This window comes from Homo sapiens, chromosome 21, assembly GCF_000001405.40.
Source record: "Homo sapiens chromosome 21, GRCh38.p14 Primary Assembly".
Classification (NCBI taxonomy): domain Eukaryota; kingdom Metazoa; phylum Chordata; class Mammalia; order Primates; family Hominidae; genus Homo; species Homo sapiens.
The window spans coordinates 44,597,769-44,620,715 of record NC_000021.9 but is presented as its reverse complement, the minus strand read 5'-3'; the positions used below and the strand labels follow the sequence as shown (position 1 = coordinate 44,620,715).

Sequence of the window (22,947 nt, the reverse complement as noted above, 5' to 3'; positions counted from 1 at the left end):
AGTGAATCCAAATTTAGCAGAAGGTAGAAAATAAAGACTAGAGTGCAGATAAATGGAATAGAAATTTTAAAAATCAATCGAATCAAGGAACAAAAAAGTTGGTTCTTTGAGAAGAGCAACAGATTTGACAAACCTCTGTCTAGACTGATTAAAGGAAGACAGATTCAAATAACTAAAATCGTAAATGAAAATGGGAACATCACTACTGACCTTACGTTAATAAAAATAATTATAAAGGAATACTATGAATATTTGTACCCAACAAATTAGATAACCAAGATGTAATGGAAAAACTCCTATAAACATACAAACTACCAACATGGCTACCTTTGCTGTTGACCTTTCTTCATTCATATTGCTTTAGCTTACTATCGACTGCCTTTGTATTTCAGCCTGAAATAGCATTTCTTGTAAGGGACATCTTTCAGCAACGAGCTCTCAGGTTTTATTTACCTCAAAATGTGTTACTTCTTCACTTTTGAAGGATCACTTTGCCAGATGAAGACGTCTTTTTGGTTGTTGGGTGCTCCCCACCCCTGTGCCCAAACCCAGCATGTTAAATATGTCATCCCAACGCGTTCTGGCCTCCATGGTTTCTGATGAGAAATCCGCTGTTAGTCTTCCGTCCCACTGCTTTTTACATTCTCTCTTTGTTTTGACTTTTGAGAGTTTGATTATACTGTGTTTTTATGTGAATCCCTCTGAGTTAGATTGATGTGTTTCCTCAATTCTGGAAGTTTGGGCCATTATTTCTTCAACTATTTTTTCTGCTCCCACTGTCTCCCCTCCAACTGGAAATCCTGCTAAGTGTGTTGGTATGCTTGATGGTGTCCCACAGGTCTTTTCAGATTTGTTTATTTTTCTTCATTCTCTCATCTGCTCCTCATTTTCTCATCTACTCCTCAGACAAGAATACTTCAATGGATCTATCTTCTTGTTCACTAATTCTTATAGCTGCTAAAATCTGCTGTTGAAACCATATCATGAGTTATTTATTTCAGTGACTGTACTTTCCAATTCCAGAACTTCTATTTAATTTCTTTTTAAATTTCCTCCTATCTCTTTATTGATATTCTCTATTTGGTGAGGTATCATTCTCCTGGTTTATCTTAATTCATTGTCTGTGATTGTATTTAGTTTTTTAAACATGTTTAAGAGAGTTGATTGAAAGGCTTTGTCTAATAAGTCCAATTCTGGGCTTCCTCAGGAAGATTTTCCATTAATTGCTTTTCCTCCTCATGAGTAGCTTATATTTCTTGCTGCTTTGCATGGCACATGCCTCTGGTGAAAACTGCACAGTGACAATTACAAAGGGATATTTCTGGGTATCAGGCTCTCCTCCCTCTGCGCAGTTTGCTGTTGCTGATTGTTGTGGATTGTGGTTGTTTTTGTTTGTTTCTGTCAGTTTTTAAAAATAGTTTCTTCACCATGTGTGCTCACTGTTCTATTAGCTTAGTGCTGAGATAGTAATTTGACAGAGAGTTCCTTAAACCCCTGGAATCAAAAACTTATTTTTCTTCAGGGTTTGTAGCTGGGCTCTGTATGTTGGTCCACGCCTTCAGCACTCGGCTGGGGAGTTTGTGACTCTGCCTTCCCCTTCACTTCCTGCTTGCACCTTCACTTCCTGCTTGCACCTTCACTTCCTGCTTGCTCAGAGCCTGAGGTTCAGCCAGAGGTGAGCAATGAGAGCTTCTCAGCTCTTTTCTGAGCCAGTGCCCCATCATAGACATGCACGGGGGCTTTCTGGACTCTAAAAATATGTGGAACCTTCTAACTCCCTTATTCCTCAAAGCATGTCATCTCCTAGCTTTTCCTCCCAGGCTTTTTAGGGGTGTCCAGTGTTTTCCCAACTGAAAATTTTTGACTTAGGTGTCAGTGACTTGTTCATTTACCTTTAAACGTTGTAACACACACCCTCCATATAGCTGCTCCTCTACCTTGAGATAGTCTGAGTTGGTGAAATAAGGCAAGCCCTGTGTGTTAGTCCTTCAGGGAGCCACCAGACGGTCGAAACAGGCAACTGCACTGCCTTACAAACAAGGTCCACTCTGCTTCCCTGGCAGCAGCACCCCACACCAGGAACTCCGGCTGCTGCCTTCCTGACTGTCACCCAGCTGGGGATGGGGGATGGGGCAAGGGGAAGTTAAAATCCACAAGGTTCTCCTATTGGGCTCTGTTGCTTTTACTTGATTATGTGTTCCCTTGCTTGCTGCAAAGCTTTGACCATTTTCCAGAGTTTGGATAAAGTTGATTTTACCAGGTAGTGTTTGTTTGTTTGTGTATTAGTCCTTTTTCACACTGCTATAAAGATACTATCCAAGACTGAGTAATTAATAAAGGAAAGAACTTTGATTGACTCAGTTTCACATGGCTGGGGAGGCCTCAGGAAACTTACAGTCATGGTGGAAGGCAATGGGGAAGCAAGGACCTTCTTCACATGGTGGCAGGAGAGAGAAGCAAGTGAGAGCAGGGAAAACTGCTTTATAAAACTGTCAGATCTGGTGAGAACTCACTATCACTACAACAGCATGGGGGAAACCAACTCCATGATCCAATCACTTCCCACCAGGTCTCTCCCTCAACACCTGGGGATGACAGTTCAAGATGAGATTTGGATGGGGACAAAAAGTCCAACCATATCTGTTTGTTTTGCCAGTTTCTGATGTTCTGTGGAGGGACAGGCCCTTACAGTTCCCCGCTCCACCATTTCCTCTGTCATCGGTCTTAGCAGGCACAGTTTGGACACTCTTTTTGAGGGTATTTCTAAATATCTTTATGAATTTGAAATCTGCTAACACTCCAGCTTAGAAGTGCCACTTTTAGGAATTTAGGCAAACACATATCTGAGTGTGGAAAGGTATATAGTGGAAACACACACAGAAGTGTCGTTTGTAATAAAGAACAACTAGAGAGACATTCAGTGCCATCCACCTGGTGTTGCAGACATCAAGTGCAGCGTGTTCACGCTTTGGAACACTGCGCAGCTTGCTGAAGAAAACCATAAGATATTTTTCTTTATTAAATTGGCAAAGAAAGAATAACGTGTGCCCCCAGCATTGTGATTGTATAGCTCTTAAGAAGTAAAGACTCAGGGCCTCTTGCAGGCAACCTGGTCACGGCCACACCTTGCCAGCATCCCTTGCCTGCAGTTGTATTTCTAGGAATCTGTTGCTCAATCCTGTTTGAAACCACATCTGGCTACAACTGGACCTGTGTGTCCATGTGTTTCTCTCACCCTCTGGTCTGCATGTGTCCCCACGCTGTCCTGGACTTCCTCTGCCATTGGGGCCCTCCGCCCACCCAGCCCAGCACAGGGAATTCCAGAGGCCGTGTGTCTGTTCTCTGTTCTGCATCCCAGCGGCAAGCCTGGGGCTGGAGCAGAGGGCGCCCCTGAGCATCTGTGAGCGTGCACAGGAGGCCAGGATGCCCAAGCTGTCCCTGAGTAGAACTCCCTGAGCGCTGGGACAGCTGGAGCCCAAGTGTCCCCCCATGTCCCACCTCCCAGCACAGCTGGGGCCTCTGCCACCTGCCAGGAGTCAGTGCAACTGCTAGAGGAGATGAACATGGTGGACGTGGCCATGCTGGGGGTGTGGAGGAGGTGAGCTGGGGGAGGCATGAGTGGGTGAGTGAGGTGAGTGAGTGGGTGAGTGAGTGAGGTGCTTGGGGCCCTTGGGGTTTTAGAGACCCCCCATGTGTGTTTTCTAGCAGGGTTCCCCACTGCACCCTCCTTTCCTGGTTGCTTTTCCTGGTGGGTGTCTAGGCTGTGGCACGTGTTCCTCCCAGGAACTTTTAGCCCAGCCTTGGGGCTGTGTTGAATTCGCTGGGTTGTTCGGCCCCAGAAGCAAAAGTCAGACAAAAAATACACCCAAGTGGGCAGGCGTGACCGGAGCAGAGGCTGAGGCTTGTGCGGGCACGTGCTGCCTTAGGGCTGCTTGGTGTGGTCACACCGCAGACTCTGTCCGTGCGCTGCCTGCGCTGAGCCAGGTGTCCGGTGCGCAGCCGCATTGTCACGGTGTCTCATTCTCACTGCTGAGCAGAGCTCTCGAATTGGGTGCTGACCAGGGCAGGGTCTCGGGTTCCAGGTAAACAAAGCCAGGCTTGCCCCACTGATCTGAGAAGAGGGACTGGAGTTGTGGGAGGTGGAGAAGGAGGCTGTGAAGCTCTGGAAGGCACCTGGCAGGGAGGAGGAGGAGGCAGGGCCAGGCAGCATGGTGAGGGACTGGGGAACCAGGGTCGGGGGCTGACAGGCTGTGAAAGGTAAGAGCCCTGTGGCTGCACACCTGTGACATTTGGGCCAGTGCCCCAGCCTTGTGTCTGTGGTTGTGTGGAAGGTGGTGTGGGGTGGAGAAGGGAGGTGCCCACCCCCAAGGCAACATCCTGGCAGAGAAAAAGAAGAATTGTAAGATCTCTCCCCGCTTTAGAGACAAAAGGGCACCGTGAGAGCGTCCACCTCCCCTGGGGTTTGTTCCCTGCTGTCATGTTGTTAGAGCAGAGGTGACCCTGGCAGGGATCTGGGGCAGCTGCCTTTGCCTGCATCGAACAGATGTGGCCTCGGGCTGAGAGCCTAAGCATGTGTGCAGTGACACATAGGAAGCCCCGCTGGGAGGTGCCCGCCGACACGCTGCACTCTGCCCAGGTGCTGCCGACCTCTGTCTGTGCCGATGGGGTGGTCTTCTCTGTGTGGCCTCCGCTGGGGGATGTGGCACTGTGGGGACACCCTGTTGCTCAAGCACCTCCTGACAGTGGCTTTGGCGTCCCTGGCGGCCCCGCCTGAAGTAGTTGTCTCATGGGCGTGTTTTCCTTGATGAAGACCTCCCAGCAGTGTCCAGAATGCTCAGGGTCTGGTCCCGGGAGGACGCTCCTGGGTTAAATGAGACGAGAACCTCAGGGTCACCAGGGCAGTGCACAGACCTATCTGATTCCAATTTGGGGAGCTTTTTGGGAAATTTGGATACGACTGTTGCATGATGTTCTGCTTCTTTTGATAACTATATATATATAGAAGTTGGCCATCTTCAGCTGCACTCGCTGTGGGCAGGCGGGAGAAAGCCCTCACTCCCAGGAGGCACCTGCAGAGAGACCCGGGGGAGGTGCCGCCATGTGGCTACAGCACTGAATTTCAAATGGTTCCAAAAAAACAGAATAAATTTAAAAAAAAAAAAAAAACCTTTGGTTATGGAATTAATGACATCTGGTTAAGCTGGGTGGTGAGATCCCCGCTGTCATTAATTCCATGGTAAAAATGTCTTTAATCCCCCAGCTATTTCTCTGGAAAATCCGCTGAGAGGTGGGATCCCATCCACTTATTTACACAAACTGCTACAGCGTGTCCCCAGGCCAGAGAGCGCTGCCTCGCTTGGCACCTGTGCGGCCTGGACTCTCTTCCGCAGCCTGGGCACTCGCGCTCCTGCGTGTGTGCGGGTCGGGTGAGCGCACGGCCCTCGTGCAGGGCCTCCCCGTGGTGCGGCGCTGGCTCCATTCGCCTCCATTCCCTCGTGGATGGATATTTAGGTTGTTTCTAATTTTTCATGGTAACAAACAGTGCCGCTTACGTACATGCGCCGGAGATTTTTCAGCACTGCCCATGGCGGAGTCCAGGAGGGCCTCTCACATGGTAGGATACGGCCCCGCCTCTTCCCAAAGCAGTGGTGCCAATCCCCCATTTCCACAGCCAGCTGGAGCTCCTGCCTGCCACGTCCGGTGAGCGATGGGTGTGTCCAGCTTTTTCTTCCAGGACAGGTGGGGTGAGGTGCCTGGGGTTCCTGTCGGCAGGTGCCTGCCTTCCAGGGGTGCCGATGTCTCATGTTCCAAGGCCATTTGGGCCGCTGGGTGGGAGTAGCCTGTCCATGCCTATTTCCTCCTGGGAGTTTATGCTTTTGTCTCATTGAAATCTTCTCGGTCGAGTGTCTTCTCACACACCGTGGCTTCCTTTTTCACTGGTTTTCTGCTGTCGTCTTGTGGCATAGAGAGGTTACTGTCTGCTTATGGAGTCAAGCACATCAGAGTCTTCTTGAACTCTTGCTCTGCGTGTCTCATTGGAGAAGTCTGTCATGCATTCATCTGTCTGCTGGTGATGGTCCCCCCAGCCCAACACCCCCAGGCAGGCCCCGTCAGAGGGGAGAGGGGCCAGTAGGAACGTTCCGGAGCCCGGCCACACGGCCCTGCCAGGAACCGAGCCTGGAACTGGGAGGAGAGAAGGGCAGACCAGGGACTCTGTTCCACCCTCGCCTGGGCCCTGGGATTGGTCACTCACGAATGGCAGAGGTTTCTTGGACTCCCTGTCTGCAAGGGAGCCCACCCTGACAGCCCCCTGGGGACGGTGCCTCTTGTGGAGCCGGGCTCCCTCCAGCCACAGTGACTACTGGTCGTGTCTCTGGGCGCTGTCCCCATGCTGGTGATGCAAAGTGCACGGCACAGGCCAACTTAGGGCTGCCTGACGTCAGTGGGGACGGCCATCCCCAGCTCAGACCGTGTGCTGTGCTTGAATGGGTGTAGAGGGGGAGAGTGACGCTGGCGTCACAGATCGTGAATGGTCAAAGCAGTGGGCGGGGGGCTTGATGCTGTGGACAGAGCAAGATGGGGGAGCTGAGGTCCCCAGAGACAGACACCAGACACCCCGACAGACACCAGAGCAGGAGCTCATGGCGTCATCAGGTGAGGGACCTACGGCAGGATGGGCAAGCCCAGCAGAGCAGGGGCAGTCCCTATGCCGCTGGGCAGGGTGGGAGGAGGAGAGGCCTGAGCTGGAGCCGTGTGGACCCCTGACCCCGGTCGGGGCGGCAGAGCCACAGGGCCTTGAAGAACCTGGCCAGGCCTGGCCTGGGAGAGATTAGGGACAAGCCTTGAAAATCATAAGTCGCGCACCTAAACGACGTGAAGGACACACATTTCAGGGGCAGGGGCGGCGGGCCTTGGGGAATGTCCCAGTCGGCAGCAAGCATCCCCCCATCCCATCCCTCCACCCACCCCATGATGCTTTTGTCTCCATCAAGATCCTGGGGGAATCCTGTGTGTCCCTCCACCCAGTCCATGATGCTTTTGTTCCCATCGAGTCCCTTGTCTCCTGCGCAGGTGCAGCAGCCCCTCCCTCTCCCCTCGCATTGCTGCTAAGCGAGCAGAACCCTCGGGCGGGCGGCACACAGGGAGGGTGACCAGGCCTGGAGGCTGCAGTGCCCGGAACCCAGGCCAGCTTCCCGGCAGGTGACTCTGTAGGGTGGGCTCTCCCAGGTGGGACAGTGGGTGGGTTGGTCCTGGGGCCTGGAGAGCCCCACAGCCCAGGGCACTACAGCGAATGACCAGGCTCAGGAAGACCCGGTCACAGGGGCTGAGCCGGGACTGAGCCTTCCTGGGAGTGACCGTGAGTCCCACCTGGTGACCCCCTGGAGGAGTTAGGCCACTGTCCCTTGTGACTTCTAGGTTAAGTAACTCACTCCTAGAAACGGTCATGGCTGGAGGAGACCAATGTCAGCTCAAAACCGTGTGTCCTCCCAGGAGAACAACAGGAAAAGAGAATCAGGTGACCAAGGAGAGTTTATTGGGGAGTAGGAGGAGGTGCTGAGAGGTTCAAGTCGAGGCCAAGTGACCCAGAGCAGAGAAGCTGGGAGGGAGGACAGGGGACCCAGCAGGCAGGTGGGCACCTGCTGGAAGGCAAGAGCTGGGGAGCAGTGAGGATGGAGGCTCCTGGGAGTAAGGAGGGAGAGGTCACCTCAGCACAGGGGAGACATGGAGACCCCATCCCAGGTAGGGGCAGCCACTTAACCCAGGACAGGACCGGAGCCGGCTGGCCCTGGGGGACGTGCCCATCAGCAGCTGGACTCCTGGCCTGAGCAGAGGCCTCAGCAGGCCAGGCGGGAGCACGCGGGGCGGCAGAGGAAGGACAGGCAGGAGGCCGGGTGGCAGCAGCTGGGCTGGCAGGAGGAGGCAGGGACACAACAGGAGGGGACAGGCACACAGCAGGCAGGCCGGCACACAGGGCGGCAGAGGAGGGACACGGAGGAGGAGGGTCTGCAGCAGGAGGTGGTGCAGCAAGCCGGCTGGCAGCTAGACTTCTGGCAGCACAGAGAGGAAGCCCCAGAGCAGACAGGCACACAGCAGATGGGCTTGCAGCAGATGGGCACACAGCAGGCCTGTTGGCATGGGGAGAAGGTGCAGCAAGCTGACTGGCAGCTAGACTGCTGGCAGCATGGGGAGGAAGCTCCAGAGCAGATGGACACGCAGCACACGGGCTTGCAGCAGTTGGACTTGCAGCACACAGGCACACAGCAGGCCTGTTGGCAGGGGGAGGAGGTGCAGCAAGCCGGCTGGCAGCTAGACTGCTGGCAGCATGAAGGTGTGCAGGAGTCGGTGCAGCCTGATTGGCAGGGGCTGGGCTCACAGCTCACTGGGGCACAGACCAGGGCCAGGCAGGGGGCTGGGGCACAGCAGCTAGGGGTACAGCAGCTGGAGGCACAGGAGCGGGGCTCGCAGCAGCTTTCCTGGCAATTGTCCACCTGCCAGGAGGAGCCAGTGCAGGTGCTGGGGGAGGAGACTCGGCTGACATGGCCCACGTCACTGGAGCAGACAGACATGGTGGATGCAGCAATCACATACGTCCTGGTGCAGCAGGCGTCAGCCATGGTGGGTGCTGGACTGGGTGGTGTGAGTGCTGGTGTGAGGTGTGTGGGTTTGTGTGCCCTGGCTGCTGAGGTTTTATACCCTCCCTGGGTATTTTCCTCACAGGAGTCTCACAAGCCTTCCCTTTCCTTGTTGTGGCTGAGACTTTGCCTCCAGGCAACCCTAATTAGTTTACTTGCTGTGGGATGTTACTGTGGTCCCAGGACTGCTGCATGTGGTTGGGTGATGCTGACCACTTGCAGGTGTCTGTGCCCTGCAACCACACACAGTGATGCTGCGTGTCTGCTGGTGGAGCTGGGAGTTGAACAGATCGTGAGTTGGCAAGTCTGGAAAACCCAGCCCCACTTTCCTCCTGTCTTTGCCTGTATGTCTTTGCTATTGGGGTATTTGGTACCAGGGGTGGGGTGTTTTTTTACCAGCAGATGTTCTCCACCTGTCCCAGAGTTCTGCTCCATTGAACAATGGGTGTCTCGGCTAGGAATGCCCCCTGGCTCCCCACCCTGCCACCCCTACCTGTTCCATCTGCAAACTATGGTGCGATGCCCCTGTATTAGTCCATTTTCACACTGCTGATAGAGACATACCCAAGACTGAGAGGAAAAAGGGCTTTAATTGGACTTACAGTTCCACATGGCTGGGGAGGCCGCAGAATCTTGGTGGGAGCTGACAGGCACTTCTTACATGGTGACAGCAAGAGAAAATGAGGAAGAAGCAAAAGCAGAAGCCCCTGATAAACCCATCAGATCTTGTGAGACTTATTCACTACCACTAGAATAGCACAGGAAAAGACCGGCCCCCATGATTCAATTATCTCCCCCTGGGTTCCTCCCACAACATGTAGGAATGCTGGGAGATGAAATTCAAGTCGAGATTTGGGTAAGGACACAGCCAAACCATATCATTCTGTCCCTGGCCCTTCCAAATCTTATGTCTTCACATTTCAAAACCAGTCATGCCTTCCCAACAGTCCCCCAAAGTCTTAACTCATTTCAGCATTAACCCAAAAGTCCACAGTCCAAAGTTTCATCTGAGACAAGACAAGTCTCTTCCACCTATGAGCCTGTAAAATCAAAAACAAGCTAGTTTCTTCCTAGATAAAATAGGGGTACAGGTATTGGGTAAATACAGCCATTCCAAATGGCAGAAATTGGCCAAAACAAAGGGATTTTACAGGGCCCATGCAAGTCCAAAATCCAGCAGGGGAGTCAAATTTTAAAGCTCCAAAATGATCTCGTTTGACTCCAGGTCTCACATCCAGGTCATAATGATGCAAGAGGTGGGTTCCCATGGTCTCGGACAGCTCCACCCCTGTGGCTTTGCAGGGTACAGCCTCCCTCCTGGCTGCTTTCATGGGCTGGTGTTGAGTGTCAGCAGCTTTTCCAGGCACATGGTGCAAGGTGTCAATAGATCTACCATTCTGGGGTCTGGAGGATGGTGGCCCTCTTATCACAGCTCCACTAGGCAGTGCCCCAGTAGGGACTCTGTGTGGGGGCCCTGGCCCTACATTTCCCTTCTGCACTGCCGTAGCAGAGGTTCTCCATGAGGGCCCCACCCCTGCAGCAAACTTCTGCCTGGGCATCCATGCGTTTCCATATATCTTCTGAAATCTAGGCGGAGGTTCCCAAACTTCAATTCTTGACTTCTGTGCACCTGCAGGCTCAACGCAACATGGAAGCTGCCAAGGCTTGGGGCTTCCACCCTCTGAAGCCACAGTCTGAGCTGTACATTGGCTCCTTTCACCCAGGCTGCATACAGCATGGGGACCCTGGACCCACGAAACCACTTTTTCCTCCCAGGCCTCCAGGCCTCTGATGGGAGGGGCTGCCATGAAGGTCTCTGACATGGCCTGGAGATATTTTCCCCATGGTCTTGGGGATTAACAATAGGCTCCTTGCTACTTATGCAAATTTCTGCATCCGGCTTGAATTTCTCCCTAGAAAATGGGTTTTTCTTTTCTATTGCATAGTCAGGCTACAAATTTTTCAAACTTTTATGCTCTGCTTTCATTATAAAACTGAATGCCTTTAACACCCCCCTCTCTCTGGCATGCATCCCTCCCAAGGCCCATCCCAGATGCTCTTCTTAGTTCTCCTGTTTGTCTCAGAATTATTAAACAATATACATGCTCTGTTATTTCTTGCATTTTCAATTTCAGGTATGATCTGATTTCCTATTGTGGAGGAAAGTACTTTCTCTAGTTTATCACCAGGCCCGTGAAAAGTTCCCCCTTCCCATCCTCAGAAGGCAAAGGAAGTAAAATATCAATATTTGGTTACATCAGTGTTCAGAATGTATATTATAATAAAGTAAATATTGTTCATAGCCAAGTCTGAATAGTGGAACCAGATTAAATTTCCTTATCTGTACATGTTTTGTTTTTGTTTATGTTTTTCCCCTCTTGGAGTTAACAATTGCTCCTCCCCAAACTCTGACTCATTCATCCCCATGCTCCACTCAAGAGGTTCAAATATAACAATCTATTAGCTTCATTTATTTTTTGGAAACATCTCTCTCAGAGCTGTCTTATGTGTGGACCAGTCTCTATTGGCTGCTCCCTCAGCCTGGTACACAGGTTTCCTGGGATCTCCCTTCACTCTTGTCTTTGGATTTTCATTCATCTCTCTCTGATGTTGGATCCATTACTTCCTGGATGCCTTGTCTTTTTCTTTCTGGATTTATATCCTTGTTTTGGTGGAGCACATCCTCCAGTAACTTTCTGAAAATGGGTACAAGGAAGATATATTTTTGAGCCATAGCATGACTAAAAATGCCTTTATTCTGCTCTTCCATTTGATTGATAGCTTAGCTGGATATAATTTCTGGGTGGAAATATTTCCCCTTAGACTATTTTGGGGAAGATGTGGAACATTACCAGAGTCCTAAATGATCCCTTATGCTATCTCTTTGTTAGTCCCTCCTCCCTAAGTATTAGTTGCTGTTCTACCTTCTCTCCTCATTGGTTAGCTTTGCGTGTTCTATGGAACTCTTTTGTTTTATGGTTCAATTTGTTCAGCACAATGTCTGTGAGAAGCACCATGTTGCTGCATGCATCAGTACTTCACTCTTTTTTTGCTGCCCCATTGCATTAAATTCTACAACGTGTTATTTGTCCATTCTCTTTCACAGTGTTAGAGATTTAGATTGTTTCCAGATTTGGGCTGCTGTTAATAGTGCTCCTAGAAAAATTCTTGTAAACTTTTTCACTGATATTTTTACTAATTTCTCTTCATTGTGCTCCCAAAAGTGGAATTGCTTGGTCATAGATAGGCATATGTTGGCTTAGCATATACCAACAACTTTCTAAAGAAATTTACATCCTCACTAGTTGATTTTATAATTCCATTTATTCTGTATCTTTACAAAATGAGGTTGATCAGTCTTTTAAAATTTGTTTATTTTGGAAAGTGTTTAGGAATATTGCACTGTTGCACTAATGTGCATATCCCGGATGAGTAAAGCCACTCATTGAACCTTGGATATCTTTTCTTGTGAGGTGCCTGTTCAAGACATTTGCTTGCTTTCTAAAATATGGCTACTTGTGTTTCTTATTGATTTGCAGAAATTTATTATGTATTCTGAATATGAGTTGTATACATGCAGTGTGTCAGTGAACGTTCAATAACTGGCTTTTGTTTTTGTAACGAAAACAAAAACAAAAGTCCCAATTGGTTGCATTTGCCAACGTCCACGTGTGAATGCTCCCAACCCAGCTAAATCCAAGCTACCAAGACAATGTCACTTAACACAGAGATGGGAAGAGAGGGGTGCATGTCAGCTCTCATGAGCCAGGGCATGCTGGCTTTAGTGTACCACTGAGTATGGGAATTGCAAATAACCCATCCAAGTCTGGGGTTTAAAAATGAAGTTTTTAAAAAGTCAGCTTTATTGAAGTATGATTACATGCTGTAAAAGGTACCTATTTAAAGTTACCTTTTCATGAGTTTTGAGAAAATATACACCCATGTAACCACTACCACAAGCAAGATCTGGATTTTCCATCATCTCCGAGTTCCCAGGTGTACTTTTCATGATCAATCCCCACCCCTCCTGACTCTGCCCCAGGAAACGACTGATCTCCTCTGTGTCTCAAATAGGTTTGTCTTTCCTGGAATTTCATGTAAATCAAATTCTATAGTACAATTGACCCATGTGTCGATGGACACATGACTTGTGTGGCAAAAGCATCTTTAAACATTTGTGAGCAAGTCTTTGTGATATGATTTCACTTCTCTTGGGTAAACACACAGGAGGTGGAGTGTGTGGGGCATGTGAAGGGGGTGTGTGTGTCATGTTTATGACACTGCCAAACTGTTTTGCAGAGGGATTTTTCCATTTCACATTCCCACCCCAGCAAATGTTGGAGAGTTCCATTTCCTGCACACATTTGCTGACACTCGGTATTGGTCATCTATTTCAATCTGAGTCATGTTTATGGATGTGTGGTATTAATAGTATCATTTGATGAAGAGACGCTCTTAATTGTAGTAAAATCCGATTTACTAATTTACTCTCTTATGTGTGGCATTTTTACCCCGTTCCCGAAGTCTTTGCCTACCACAACGTCGTGAAGACATTCCCCTATATGTGCTTCTAGAGCTTCATTATTTTTATTTCATTCATTGTTCATTTACTAATTTTTAAACTGACAAATAATAATTGTGTGTATTTACTAGGTATAATGTGATGTTTTGATCTATAATGTGACGTTTTGACCTGTGCATGCATTGTAGAAAGATTAAATCAAGCCCTGTAATCCCAGCACTTTGGGAGGCCAAGGCAGGTGGATGATGAGGTCAGGAGATCAAGACCATCCTGGCCAACATGGTGAAACCCTGTCTTTACTAAAAATACAAAAATTAGTTGGGTGTAGTGGCGCGCACCTGTAGTCCCAGCTACTTGGGAGGCTGAGGCACAAGAATTGCTTGAACCCGGGAGGCGGAGGTTGCAGTGAGCTATTGTGCCACTGCACTCCAGTCTGGCAACAGAGCAAGACTGTGTCTAAAAAACAAAACAAAACAAAAAAGATGAAATCAAGTTACTTAACATAACCATCATCTCACCAACTTACCATTTTTCTGGTAAATTAAAAGTATATTCTTTTACCAGTTTTGAAGTATGCAACACATTATTTTTATGTGTCACCATGCAATGCAGTAGGTCACTAAAGCTTTTTCCTCCAGTGTGATGGAAAGGTTGTTTCCTTTGATCAACATCTCCCTTCCCCATTCCTCTCCTCTGGCAGCCCCCGGCCTCTGGTAACCACCTTTCTGCTCTCTGTTTCTAAGTTTGACAGTTTTAGATTCTAGACACAAATCATGCCATTTGTCTTTCTGTGCCTGGCTTATTTCGCTTAGCATAATGTCCTCCAGGTCCATTCAAGTTGTCACAAATGACAGAATTTTTCTCCTTTTCATGGCCGAATAGTATTCCATTGTGTATATATGCCACACTTTCTTTATCCATTCATCAATTGATGAACTGAGATCGATTCCATACCTAGGCTATTGTGAATAAGACTGAAATGAACATAGGAGTGCAGACCTCTCCCCAAAAGAATGATTTCAGTTATTTTAGATATAAAACCAGAAGTGGGATTTGTGGATCATAGGCAAGTTCTATTTTTAGTTTTTTGAGGAACCGCTATACTGTTTCCCGTAGTGGTTGTACTAATTTAGATTCCCACCAACAATGTACAAGACTCCCTCTTTTCTACATCCTCCCTAACACTTGTTCGCTTTCATCTTTTTGATAAGAACCATTCTGACAAGTGTGAGGTGATGTCTCATTGCATCTTCAATGTGCATTTTCCTGATGACTAGTGATGTTGAGCATTTAAAAATATACCTGCTGTCCATTTAAATGGCTTCTTTTGAGAAATGTCTGTTTAGGTCTTTTGCCCATTTTTATTTATTTATGTAGTTTTTTTTTTTTTTTTTTTTGAGCCAGGGTCTTGCTCTGTTGCCAGGCTGTTTGTCCATTTTTAGATTGGGTTATTTATTTTCTTGCTACTGAGTTGTTTGAGTTCCTTATTGTGAGTAGTAGTCCCTCATCAAATATATGGTTTGCAGATATTTTTTCCCAATCCATGGGTTGTTTCTTCATCCTGTTGATTGTCTCCTTGGCTGTACAGCTTTTTCGTTTGATGCAATCTCATTTGTCTATGTTTTATTTTGTTAGGTGTGCTTTTGGGGTCCTATTCAAGGAATAATTGCCTGGACCAATGTAATGGAGATTTTCCACTATGCTTTCTTCTAGCAGTATCACATTTCAGGTCTTATGCCGAGGTCTTCCATGCATTTTGAGTTGATTTTTGCATATGATGTAAGATGAGGGTTCAATTTTAGTTTTCTGCACATGGATATTGAGTTTTCCCAACACTGATTATTGAAGAGTCTGTCCTTTTCCCATCATTTGTTCTTGGCACCTTTGTCAGAAATAAATTGACAACAAACACTTGGGTTTGTTTCTGGGATTTCTATCCCATTCCATTGGTTGATATGTTTATTTTTATGTCAGTCCCATGGTGTTTGGATTACAATAGCTTTAAAGTATTTTGAAATTAGGGAGTGTGATGCCTCCAGCTTTGTTCTTCCTACTCAAAACTGTGTTGGCTATTCAGAGTCTTTTATGGTTTCATATGAATTTTGGGATTGTTCTTTTCTATGTATTTGTAAAAATGATATTGAAATTGATAGAGATTGCATTGAATCTGTAGATAGCTTTAGGTAGTATGGACATTTTAACAATATTAATTCTTGTAATCCGTGAATATGGGACATTGTTCCATTTATTTGTGTCTTCAACTTCTTTCATCAATGTTTTGTAGTTTTCAGTGTACAGATCTTTCACCTCCTTGGTTAAATATCTTTCTAAACTCTTCTACATGCTATTGTAAATGGTATTGTTTTCTTAATCTCTTTTTTGGATCATTGTTCATTGTTAGTATATAGAAATGCTATTAATTTTTGTATGTTGATTTTTTAACTTGCAACTTTATTAAATTTGTTTATCAGTCCTAATAGTTTGAAGACTAACAGGTAGAGTCTTTACAAGAAAAGAAAACTACAGGCCAACGTCCTTGACGAATATAGATGCAAAAATCCTCAAAAAAAGACTAGCAAACTGAATTCAACAGCACATTAAAAAGATCCTTCACTATGATCCAGTGGGATTTATCCCAGGGATGCAAGAATGGTTCAACATATATAAATCAATAAATGTGATACATCACACTAACATTAGAGACAAAAAACACATGATCACCCCAATAGATGCAAAAGACCATTTGAACAAATTCAGCATTCATTCATGATTAAAACTCTCAAGAAAATAGACATAGAAGAGACGCACCTCATCACGATAAAGGCCATATGCAACAAGCCCACAGCTGATGCCATACTCAGTGGTGAAAAGCTGAAAGCTCTTTCTCTAAGATCAAAAACAAGGCAAGGATGCCCACTCTTGTCACTTCTATTTAACGTGGTGCTGGAAGTTCTAGCCAGAGCAATTAGGCAAGAAAAAGAAATAAAAGGTACTGAATAGAAAAGAAAGAAGTGAGACTGTCTCTGCTGATGATGTGATCTTATATAGAGATCTCATTATCTTATCTTTGACATGTAAGTCTAGGGTTCACCCCTAGTTAATTTTTGTGCATGGTGTCTCGATGGTAGGTGAGATTGGCTATCTTATCCTGTGATTTTTGGCCATTGGACATCTTATCCTATAATTGCGTATTTCCATCTCTTTTATTCGTTTCTTTTTATGTTTTCTTTATAAATTCTGAATTTGAATCTTTTGTTACATACTGTGGGTGAAGGTCATCAATGCTGGTTCAGAAACCAACAGAAGTCAACATGTCAATGGCTTAAGCCCACAAGGCCTTCCCCACTCCTCACATTGCCATCCAAGCATGCTGCGCCCCTACCTTGTGGACCCACTCTCTGGCACGTGAGCCTCCAAGATAGCCCGGCAAGGAAGAGAGGCAGCAGGGCTCCCACAACCTGTGGCGTGGAAGTGGCAGACATCTCTCCATGCACGTTTAACCAATAGAAACTCATCATGTGGCCCTAACTAACTGCAGGTGGCTGGAACCTGCCAGCCCACGTGCCCAGGAGGGAGACAGTGAGCCCGCAGTCTCCCCGTGATGCCCCACAGGTGGCTTCTCTGGGATGGGATTGGTGGAAACTTTGATTGTGTGCTTATGCTTTTGTGTGCATTTTGCTGCATTCAAGATTGTCAGTATTTTCTCTAATGATTTGTGCCTTTTGCATTTTTTGTGAGATATTGGTTCTTTCACCAGGGATGGCGGTAGGCATTGTTGACCAGGGCAAATGGTGAATGTCCAGGTGACAAAGGGCAGTTTCAGCCACCGTCAGCTTCTGTGGTGCGGCTGAGAATGGCCCCTTGGAGGAGGCTGCTTCTCTCTGCTCAGCCACCCTGGCACGCCCTTCCTCTTGCAGGAGGTTCTGAAGTTCCACCTGTTGCCCTTGGAAGGGAACTTGATGTTTCTGCCCCACAGCACACCTCCCCTGAAGTTCACACCCGGGGCGTGGGGGGCGTGTTTCCCCAGAGGCTCACATGCCTGGATGCTTGCTGGGGCCATGCCTAGGGGAGGAGCCGAGTCTGGGATCCGCAGAGGAGGACGTGCTTCTCTGAGCAAGGCCCCTCCATCTTGCCGTCTGTGGGATTCAGGTGCCTGTAGTTGGGGGACTCACCACAGGGTCCCCTTGGTGCCTCCTGGAGAACCAGAGGGGAGCCAGTGACGCAAAGCCTGGGATGCTGACTTAGGGTGTAGCCCTGGTGCCAGAGAGAAGCCTGGCTCATTTCTTCTGCACAGGGGCCGGGGTAGGGGCAGAGGAGTGCCAGGTGGGACATGTGGGGGCTTATTCCTTGCCAGCTGGTGCTCCAGCCCCACGCCAGAGTTTCAGGCCACAGCCTCTGTGGCCACCACAGGGGAGGGACAGCTCGTTGCAGGCGCAGGTCGGCTCTGCTCCTCATGAAACCTACGATGGCCTGGCCTCACCCAGCCTCCTTCTCTGTCTCCACCCCCTCTGGAGCAGGAGTCAAAGGAAGCACTACCAGAAATGCACCCAGCACTGTCCTAGGACAGCATTGTCATTGCTTGGGAAGGGCAGCTTGGGGTCTGTGTCAGGGTCCCCAAGACGGCGATTCTCCAGGAGGACACAGGCCACACAGGTTGTGGTATTCACAGCTGTGATTTCCCACAGGGAGGACACTGAGCAAAATCAACCAAGGGAAAGGTTCCTGGGGCCGAGTCCAGGGGCACCAGGCTCAGCTTTGGAGGCCTCTCCTGGGGTGGGGGTCACGCAGGACGCGCCTCACTCCTCTGCAAGCAGCTGGGACGCTGCGTGTGCGATGTTGGGGATGCCCTGCCCGGTGATGTACCCGGGGACTGGTCACGTGAGCAGCTTCTGCCTGGGCTACGCCAGAATTCCAGACTCCCAGCAGGGATGTGGGTGTTCGGCCTAAACCACATGGTACAAACAGCTCAGGCCCAGTGAGGCGGGGCCGGGGGGAGCCCCTCGGAAATCCCAGTTCCCAGACGCCAGCCAAGGGCCAGCCCGGCCAGCGGGCCTCAGGATGGCCGTCCCCGCCCACCGTGTGGACCCATTCTGCACACGGCCATGGGGTTTCCTTTCTGGAGCCAGGGGCTGGACACAACCCAGTTTCTGGGGAGGCCCCAAAGCAGCCCCACCCAGGGCAGGCGCTGCTGTTGGATCCCTCACCTCTCCCATCCCTCAGTCCTGCCTACCCCTCGGACATCCGTGTGGTGAGGCTGGTGCAGGGCTGCCAGGACGCCTGGGAAGGACAGGGACCTCGTGGCGTGGGAGCAGCCCAGGACCACCCGCGGGTGGGGGGCATCAGGCAGGGGTCTTTGGTTGTGAACAACAAGAATGAATTCCAGTTGTACTTTTTAGGAAAGGAGTTTATTAGAAGGGTCTGACCTGCTCCCGTGGTCAGGGAAGACAGAGAAAGAGGCCCAGGCCCACAGCAGGGGAGGAGCAGGGCTCGCCACTGAGCTGGGACAGTGACGAGAAACCCAGTTGGTACCTGTCTACCCTCATTTCTCCCCACACCGGGCTATGGCCTGGGAGCACCCGCTGGCCTTGCTGGGGTCACTGCCCACCTGTTGCTGGGGAAGCAGGGCTGGGTAATTGGGGGAAAGTCAAGACTTGGAGAAACAGCTGAGCTGCTTCTAGGAGGAGAAGCGCACACTGGATGGCCAGCTGACCACTGACGTCCACTGCAGGGCTTAGGAGCGGGATGTGGAGAGCCGTCAAGGGTAAAGAATCCAGGGGTGCAGGTGGCAGTGAGCACTCAGGCTTTGGATGATCTTAAGGAGATCACTCAGCAGCTGGACTTCTGGGTTGAGGTGGGGCCACAGCAGGCCGGGCGGGAGCATGCGGGGCGGCAAAGGAGAGACACACAGGAGGCTGGGCGGCAGCAGCTGGCCTGGCAGGAGGAGGTGGGGGCGCAGCAGGAGGGGACGGGCACGCAGCAGGCGGGCCTGCACACGGGGCGGCAGAGGAGGGACACGGAGGAGGAGGGTCTGCAGCAGGAGGTGGTGCAGCAAGCCGGCTGGCAGCTAGACTGCTGGCAGCATGAAGTGGAAGCCCCAGAGCAGACGGGCACACAGCACACAGGCTTACAGCAGACGGGCACGCAGCAGCCCTGCTGGCTTTGGGAGGAGGTGCAGCAAGCTGGCTGGCAGCATGAACCGGAATCATCAGAGCAGGTGGGCACACAGCAGACGGGCTTGCAGCAGACAGGCACACAGCAGGCCTGCTGGCAAGGGGAGGAGGTGCAGCAAGCCGGCTTGCAGCTAGACTGCTGGCAGCACGAGGGCGTGCAGGAGCTGATGCAGCCTGATTGGCAGGGGCTGGGCTCACAGACCGCCTGGCAGCAGGGACTGGACACACAGCTCACACAGCTAGACTGCTGGCAGCACGAAGAGGAAATCCCAGAGCAGACAGGCTTGCAGCAGATGGGCACACAGCAGGCCTGCTGGCAGGGGGAGGAGGTGCAGCAAGCTGACTGGCAGCTAGACTGCTGGCAGCATGAAGAATCCCCACTGCAGACAGGCACACAGTACACAGGCTTGCAGCAGACAGTCTTGCAGCAGACGGGCACGCAGCAGGCCTGCTGGCAGGGGGAGGAGGCACAGCAAGCCAGCTGGCAGCTAGACTGCTGGCAGCACGAGGGCGTGCAGGAGCTGGTGCAGCCTGATTGGCAGGGGCTGGGCTCACAGGTCACTCGGCAGCAGGGGCTGGACACATAGCTCACTGGGGTGCAGACCAGGCTCAGGCAGGGGGCCGGGGCGCAGCAGGGGGGCTCGCAGCAGCTCTCTGGGCAGTCGTCCACCTGCCAGGAGTCGGAGCAAGAGTCACAGGAACCAGGAAGGCAGACGCGGCTGCCGTAGCTCAGGTCGCTGGAGCAGACAGACATAGTGGACGCAGCCATGCTGGGGATTGAACTGGAGGAGATGGGAGTGAGTGGGTGAGTGAGTGAATGAGTGAGTGAGTCCGTGTGTTAGGTGCTCAGGGATGTTGGCTTTTATATGTCTCCCTGGTCTGTTGTCCCAGCTGGAGTGTCAACAACTCCTGCCCCTTCCTTGTTTGTGTTTAAAACCTAGAGAACGCTTATTAGTGCGAGTTTCATGTTTAGTCCTATGAGATGCCGTTCAGTTTGTAAAGTCCTGAGTCTATATTTGGTTCCGTTGACGCACCCTCACCTACCTTTGGCTCCAGAGCATAATATTGAAGTAGACAGGGTGTAATGTCTGCAAATAGAGTGTCCCAGGGGCCTGTGCTGGCTGCAGGAGAGATCCATCCATCCTAATCCCAGCGCCTGTGGGCCATCGCCAGGGGACTCTGCTTGTCTGGGTGGCTGTGGCTTCTGGAATGCCAGGCTAGAGAAGCCCCTGTCAATGATGGCATGAGGGTGGAACATTCCTAGAAGTGACTCCCCACACTCTCTCTGGTGCATAAAGTCCCCCCAAGGGCTTTAGAGCAAGTGGCAAACGGGAAAGGGTGGACAGTGGTGTGAGCCATTTCCCGTCAGGTTCACAGTAGTTCCTGGGGGGCCGTGCACCCCCTCTTCCATCTGGGCACTTAGGGAGGCCCCAGATCCCTGTTTGGGGCCCCCATTTCCATTTGGTTTTATCCCAAGCACTGCAAACCTGTAAGTCTAACCCAGAACACCTCCTCCGCAAAAAGCACAGCCACTCTCAACAGCACTGCCGTGTGAAAAGCAGCAAGCACTGCTTTCGCTTGCAGTGTGTTTTCTTGATTGCCAGCTAAGTCCTTGGTCACCCCAGCTAGACATCTGATCTAAGTCTCCATTTCTTCTGCAAATAATATCCAATTGGCCACCACATCTTTTTGGTTGTTTCTGCTAAATGTTTCCAATTGTATCCGATACTTTTACTTCTCAAGCATTCATTTATTCATGATGCAGTGAGTCCTCCCACATGCTGGAAATTGCACCAGGTGCTGAGAATGTGAAAGTGAAGGGGTAGTAACCCTGACTGTGGACCCCACCAGGGAGGGAGGTGGGCTGCTTGGTGCCTGGTGATGTCAGTGATGACCAGCCATAGCCCAGCATGCATGCGGCCCTGAGAAGTGGCCCCTACCCAGGGGAGAGGGCTCCAGGGGCCCTTCTGGTGGGGTTTGATGCCCAGGCAAGTCTCAGAGGCTCAGGGTGTCCTGTGTCTCTATCTGTGTTTCCCAGTCCAGGCCTCTTAACTCCTAGGGGATTTAGGAAAAGTACAAAAGGCCTCAGAGGGCTAGAAATTCAGTTACACGGTGGGATGAATTGTCTTTCTGTATATTTTGAACTATAAAAATAATATAAATTTGAGCATGGCCTGGTCCCTCCAGAGGTACAGGATCTGGTCCTATGGGATGGAAGGAGAGAGAGAGAGAGAGAGAGAGAGAGAGAGAGAGAGAAAATGGGGGCCTCTGCTTCCATATGGGACAAAGTAGCTATGTCAGACATATACTCCTGCTGAGAACAACTTGAAAAGCTGAACAAAATGTTTTAAAAATGATTCCTTTAAAGCTCTCCTAAAAGAGCTGTTGAAGAAACTAAAGGTAATAGAATGACATCTTTAAAGAGCTGAAAGAAAATCACTGCAAACCTAGAATTCTAGACCAGGAAGAACATTGTTCAAAGGTGAAATATGAAACAAAACAATTCTGGATAACAACTGAGCAAACTGAACACGAGCAGACCTACTCTACAGTAACTATGAAAGGGGATTTTTTTAGGCAGGATGACGGAAGGATAAAAATGCAGGAAGGAACCAGGAGGATCTGAAAGGGTAATATTATTATATTTATAATCTCTTGTGGGGTCTAAACTAGAAGTAGAAAAGTAATGCATGATGACATTAACAATAAAAGGTGAGAAGGATAAATGGAGTGAAAGTTTTCTAAGGTTTCAGCATTGTTTTGGAAGCGGCGGAAGTGCTGACATATGTTACACTTGAATAATCTAAGAATGTGTGCTATAATCTCTAAAGTGACCACGGAAGAGATAGTAAAAACTATGTATAATCAATGTATAATCAATAATGTTAGAAATAAGGCTCAGAGTCGTAAGGAAAAACGAGCACTGAGACAAAGGATTTCTCAGCAAAGCAAATGTATGTCTGTGCAGGAGGGTGTCTCCCATATGGCTGGTTGCCACGAGAGCACACAGAACAAAGGAGAGTAGAAGTTTTTATTCCTAACGTGATCCTGCCCCTGTGTCCTTTCCCCATTGGCTGGGATTGCGCCGCACAATTTAAACTAGACCCGATTGGCTAAACATTTAAACTTTCTTAGATAAAATGGATGCATAATGGGAGAGACGGGAGAGGAGGAAGGGGTCATCTACGGGAAACTAGAGAGCCAGTCTTTTCCTAAATACAGAACGGAATGCGAGCTGGTGCTGATAATGCTAGTGATGTTGCGGCATGCCTGGGCATGTAGTAAAGTCAGAAAGAAGAAAAGGAGAAGAAAGAGAGGGGGCGGGGGTACTAGGAATTAAAGAACAAAAGGTTGAGCAGCCTGTTTGAAGAGAAGCCTTGCCTTATCTCACGAATAATGAATAGAACAGAAGAGGGAAAATAAATAATAAAAAATACTTGATTAATCCAAAATAGACAGGAAGTGATTTTTAAAAGAAACGTTAAAAAATTGGGACAAATAGAAATTGTACAGTCAGATGGCAGATAGATATAAACTAAATCATCAGTCAATAAAGTATCAGATATTCCAATTAAAATATATTGTTGGTCTGAATAAAAAGTAGAAAACCTAACTACATGCT

At 49.2% G+C, this 22,947-nt stretch overlaps 3 protein-coding genes across 4 annotated transcripts in view, besides 8 other annotated features; 1 reads left to right on the top strand and 2 right to left on the bottom strand.

The window, feature by feature from the left end:
• TSPEAR (thrombospondin type laminin G domain and EAR repeats) overlaps nt 1-22,947 on the top strand; it is a 213,680-nt gene that overhangs the window by 90,857 nt on the left and 99,876 nt on the right. The window lies entirely within an intron of this gene.
• Nucleotides 2,972-3,718: an enhancer, noted in NCBI's record as "H3K4me1 hESC enhancer chr21:46036915-46037661 (GRCh37/hg19 assembly coordinates)". NCBI's record gives its function as "activates a minimal SCP1, AML or CMV promoter by ChIP-STARR-seq in naive H9 embryonic stem cells {active_cell/tissue: H9 hESC(naive)}" and the evidence as "EXISTENCE:reporter gene assay evidence [ECO:0000049][PMID:30033119]".
• Nucleotides 7,350-7,998: an enhancer, noted in NCBI's record as "H3K4me1 hESC enhancer chr21:46032635-46033283 (GRCh37/hg19 assembly coordinates)". NCBI's record gives its function as "activates a minimal SCP1, AML or CMV promoter by ChIP-STARR-seq in naive H9 embryonic stem cells {active_cell/tissue: H9 hESC(naive)}" and the evidence as "EXISTENCE:reporter gene assay evidence [ECO:0000049][PMID:30033119]".
• On the bottom strand, nt 7,762-8,637 carry KRTAP10-8 (keratin associated protein 10-8). Its single transcript, NM_198695.2, has one exon. The coding sequence runs from the start codon at nt 8,613-8,615 to the stop codon at nt 7,836-7,838; it is 780 nt and encodes a 259-aa protein (NP_941968.2). The 5' UTR covers nt 8,616-8,637; the 3' UTR covers nt 7,762-7,835.
• Nucleotides 7,999-8,648: an enhancer, noted in NCBI's record as "H3K4me1 hESC enhancer chr21:46031985-46032634 (GRCh37/hg19 assembly coordinates)". NCBI's record gives its function as "activates a minimal SCP1, AML or CMV promoter by ChIP-STARR-seq in naive H9 embryonic stem cells {active_cell/tissue: H9 hESC(naive)}" and the evidence as "EXISTENCE:reporter gene assay evidence [ECO:0000049][PMID:30033119]".
• Nucleotides 16,916-17,770: an enhancer, noted in NCBI's record as "H3K4me1 hESC enhancer chr21:46022863-46023717 (GRCh37/hg19 assembly coordinates)". NCBI's record gives its function as "activates a minimal SCP1, AML or CMV promoter by ChIP-STARR-seq in naive H9 embryonic stem cells {active_cell/tissue: H9 hESC(naive)}" and the evidence as "EXISTENCE:reporter gene assay evidence [ECO:0000049][PMID:30033119]".
• Nucleotides 17,771-18,627: an enhancer, noted in NCBI's record as "H3K4me1 hESC enhancer chr21:46022006-46022862 (GRCh37/hg19 assembly coordinates)". NCBI's record gives its function as "activates a minimal SCP1, AML or CMV promoter by ChIP-STARR-seq in naive H9 embryonic stem cells {active_cell/tissue: H9 hESC(naive)}" and the evidence as "EXISTENCE:reporter gene assay evidence [ECO:0000049][PMID:30033119]".
• KRTAP10-7 (keratin associated protein 10-7) lies at nt 18,542-20,119 on the bottom strand. The gene has a single exon (NM_198689.3). The coding sequence runs from the start codon at nt 20,092-20,094 to the stop codon at nt 18,982-18,984; it is 1,113 nt and encodes a 370-aa protein (NP_941962.1). The 5' UTR covers nt 20,095-20,119; the 3' UTR covers nt 18,542-18,981.
• Nucleotides 18,726-19,485: an enhancer, noted in NCBI's record as "H3K27ac-H3K4me1 hESC enhancer chr21:46021146-46021905 (GRCh37/hg19 assembly coordinates)". NCBI's record gives its function as "activates a minimal SCP1, AML or CMV promoter by ChIP-STARR-seq in primed H9 embryonic stem cells {active_cell/tissue: H9 hESC(primed)}" and the evidence as "EXISTENCE:reporter gene assay evidence [ECO:0000049][PMID:30033119]".
• Nucleotides 19,486-20,235: an enhancer, noted in NCBI's record as "H3K27ac-H3K4me1 hESC enhancer chr21:46020385-46021145 (GRCh37/hg19 assembly coordinates)". NCBI's record gives its function as "activates a minimal SCP1, AML or CMV promoter by ChIP-STARR-seq in primed H9 embryonic stem cells {active_cell/tissue: H9 hESC(primed)}" and the evidence as "EXISTENCE:reporter gene assay evidence [ECO:0000049][PMID:30033119]".
• Nucleotides 20,996-21,752: an enhancer, noted in NCBI's record as "H3K27ac hESC enhancer chr21:46018864-46019624 (GRCh37/hg19 assembly coordinates)". NCBI's record gives its function as "activates a minimal SCP1, AML or CMV promoter by ChIP-STARR-seq in naive H9 embryonic stem cells {active_cell/tissue: H9 hESC(naive)}" and the evidence as "EXISTENCE:reporter gene assay evidence [ECO:0000049][PMID:30033119]".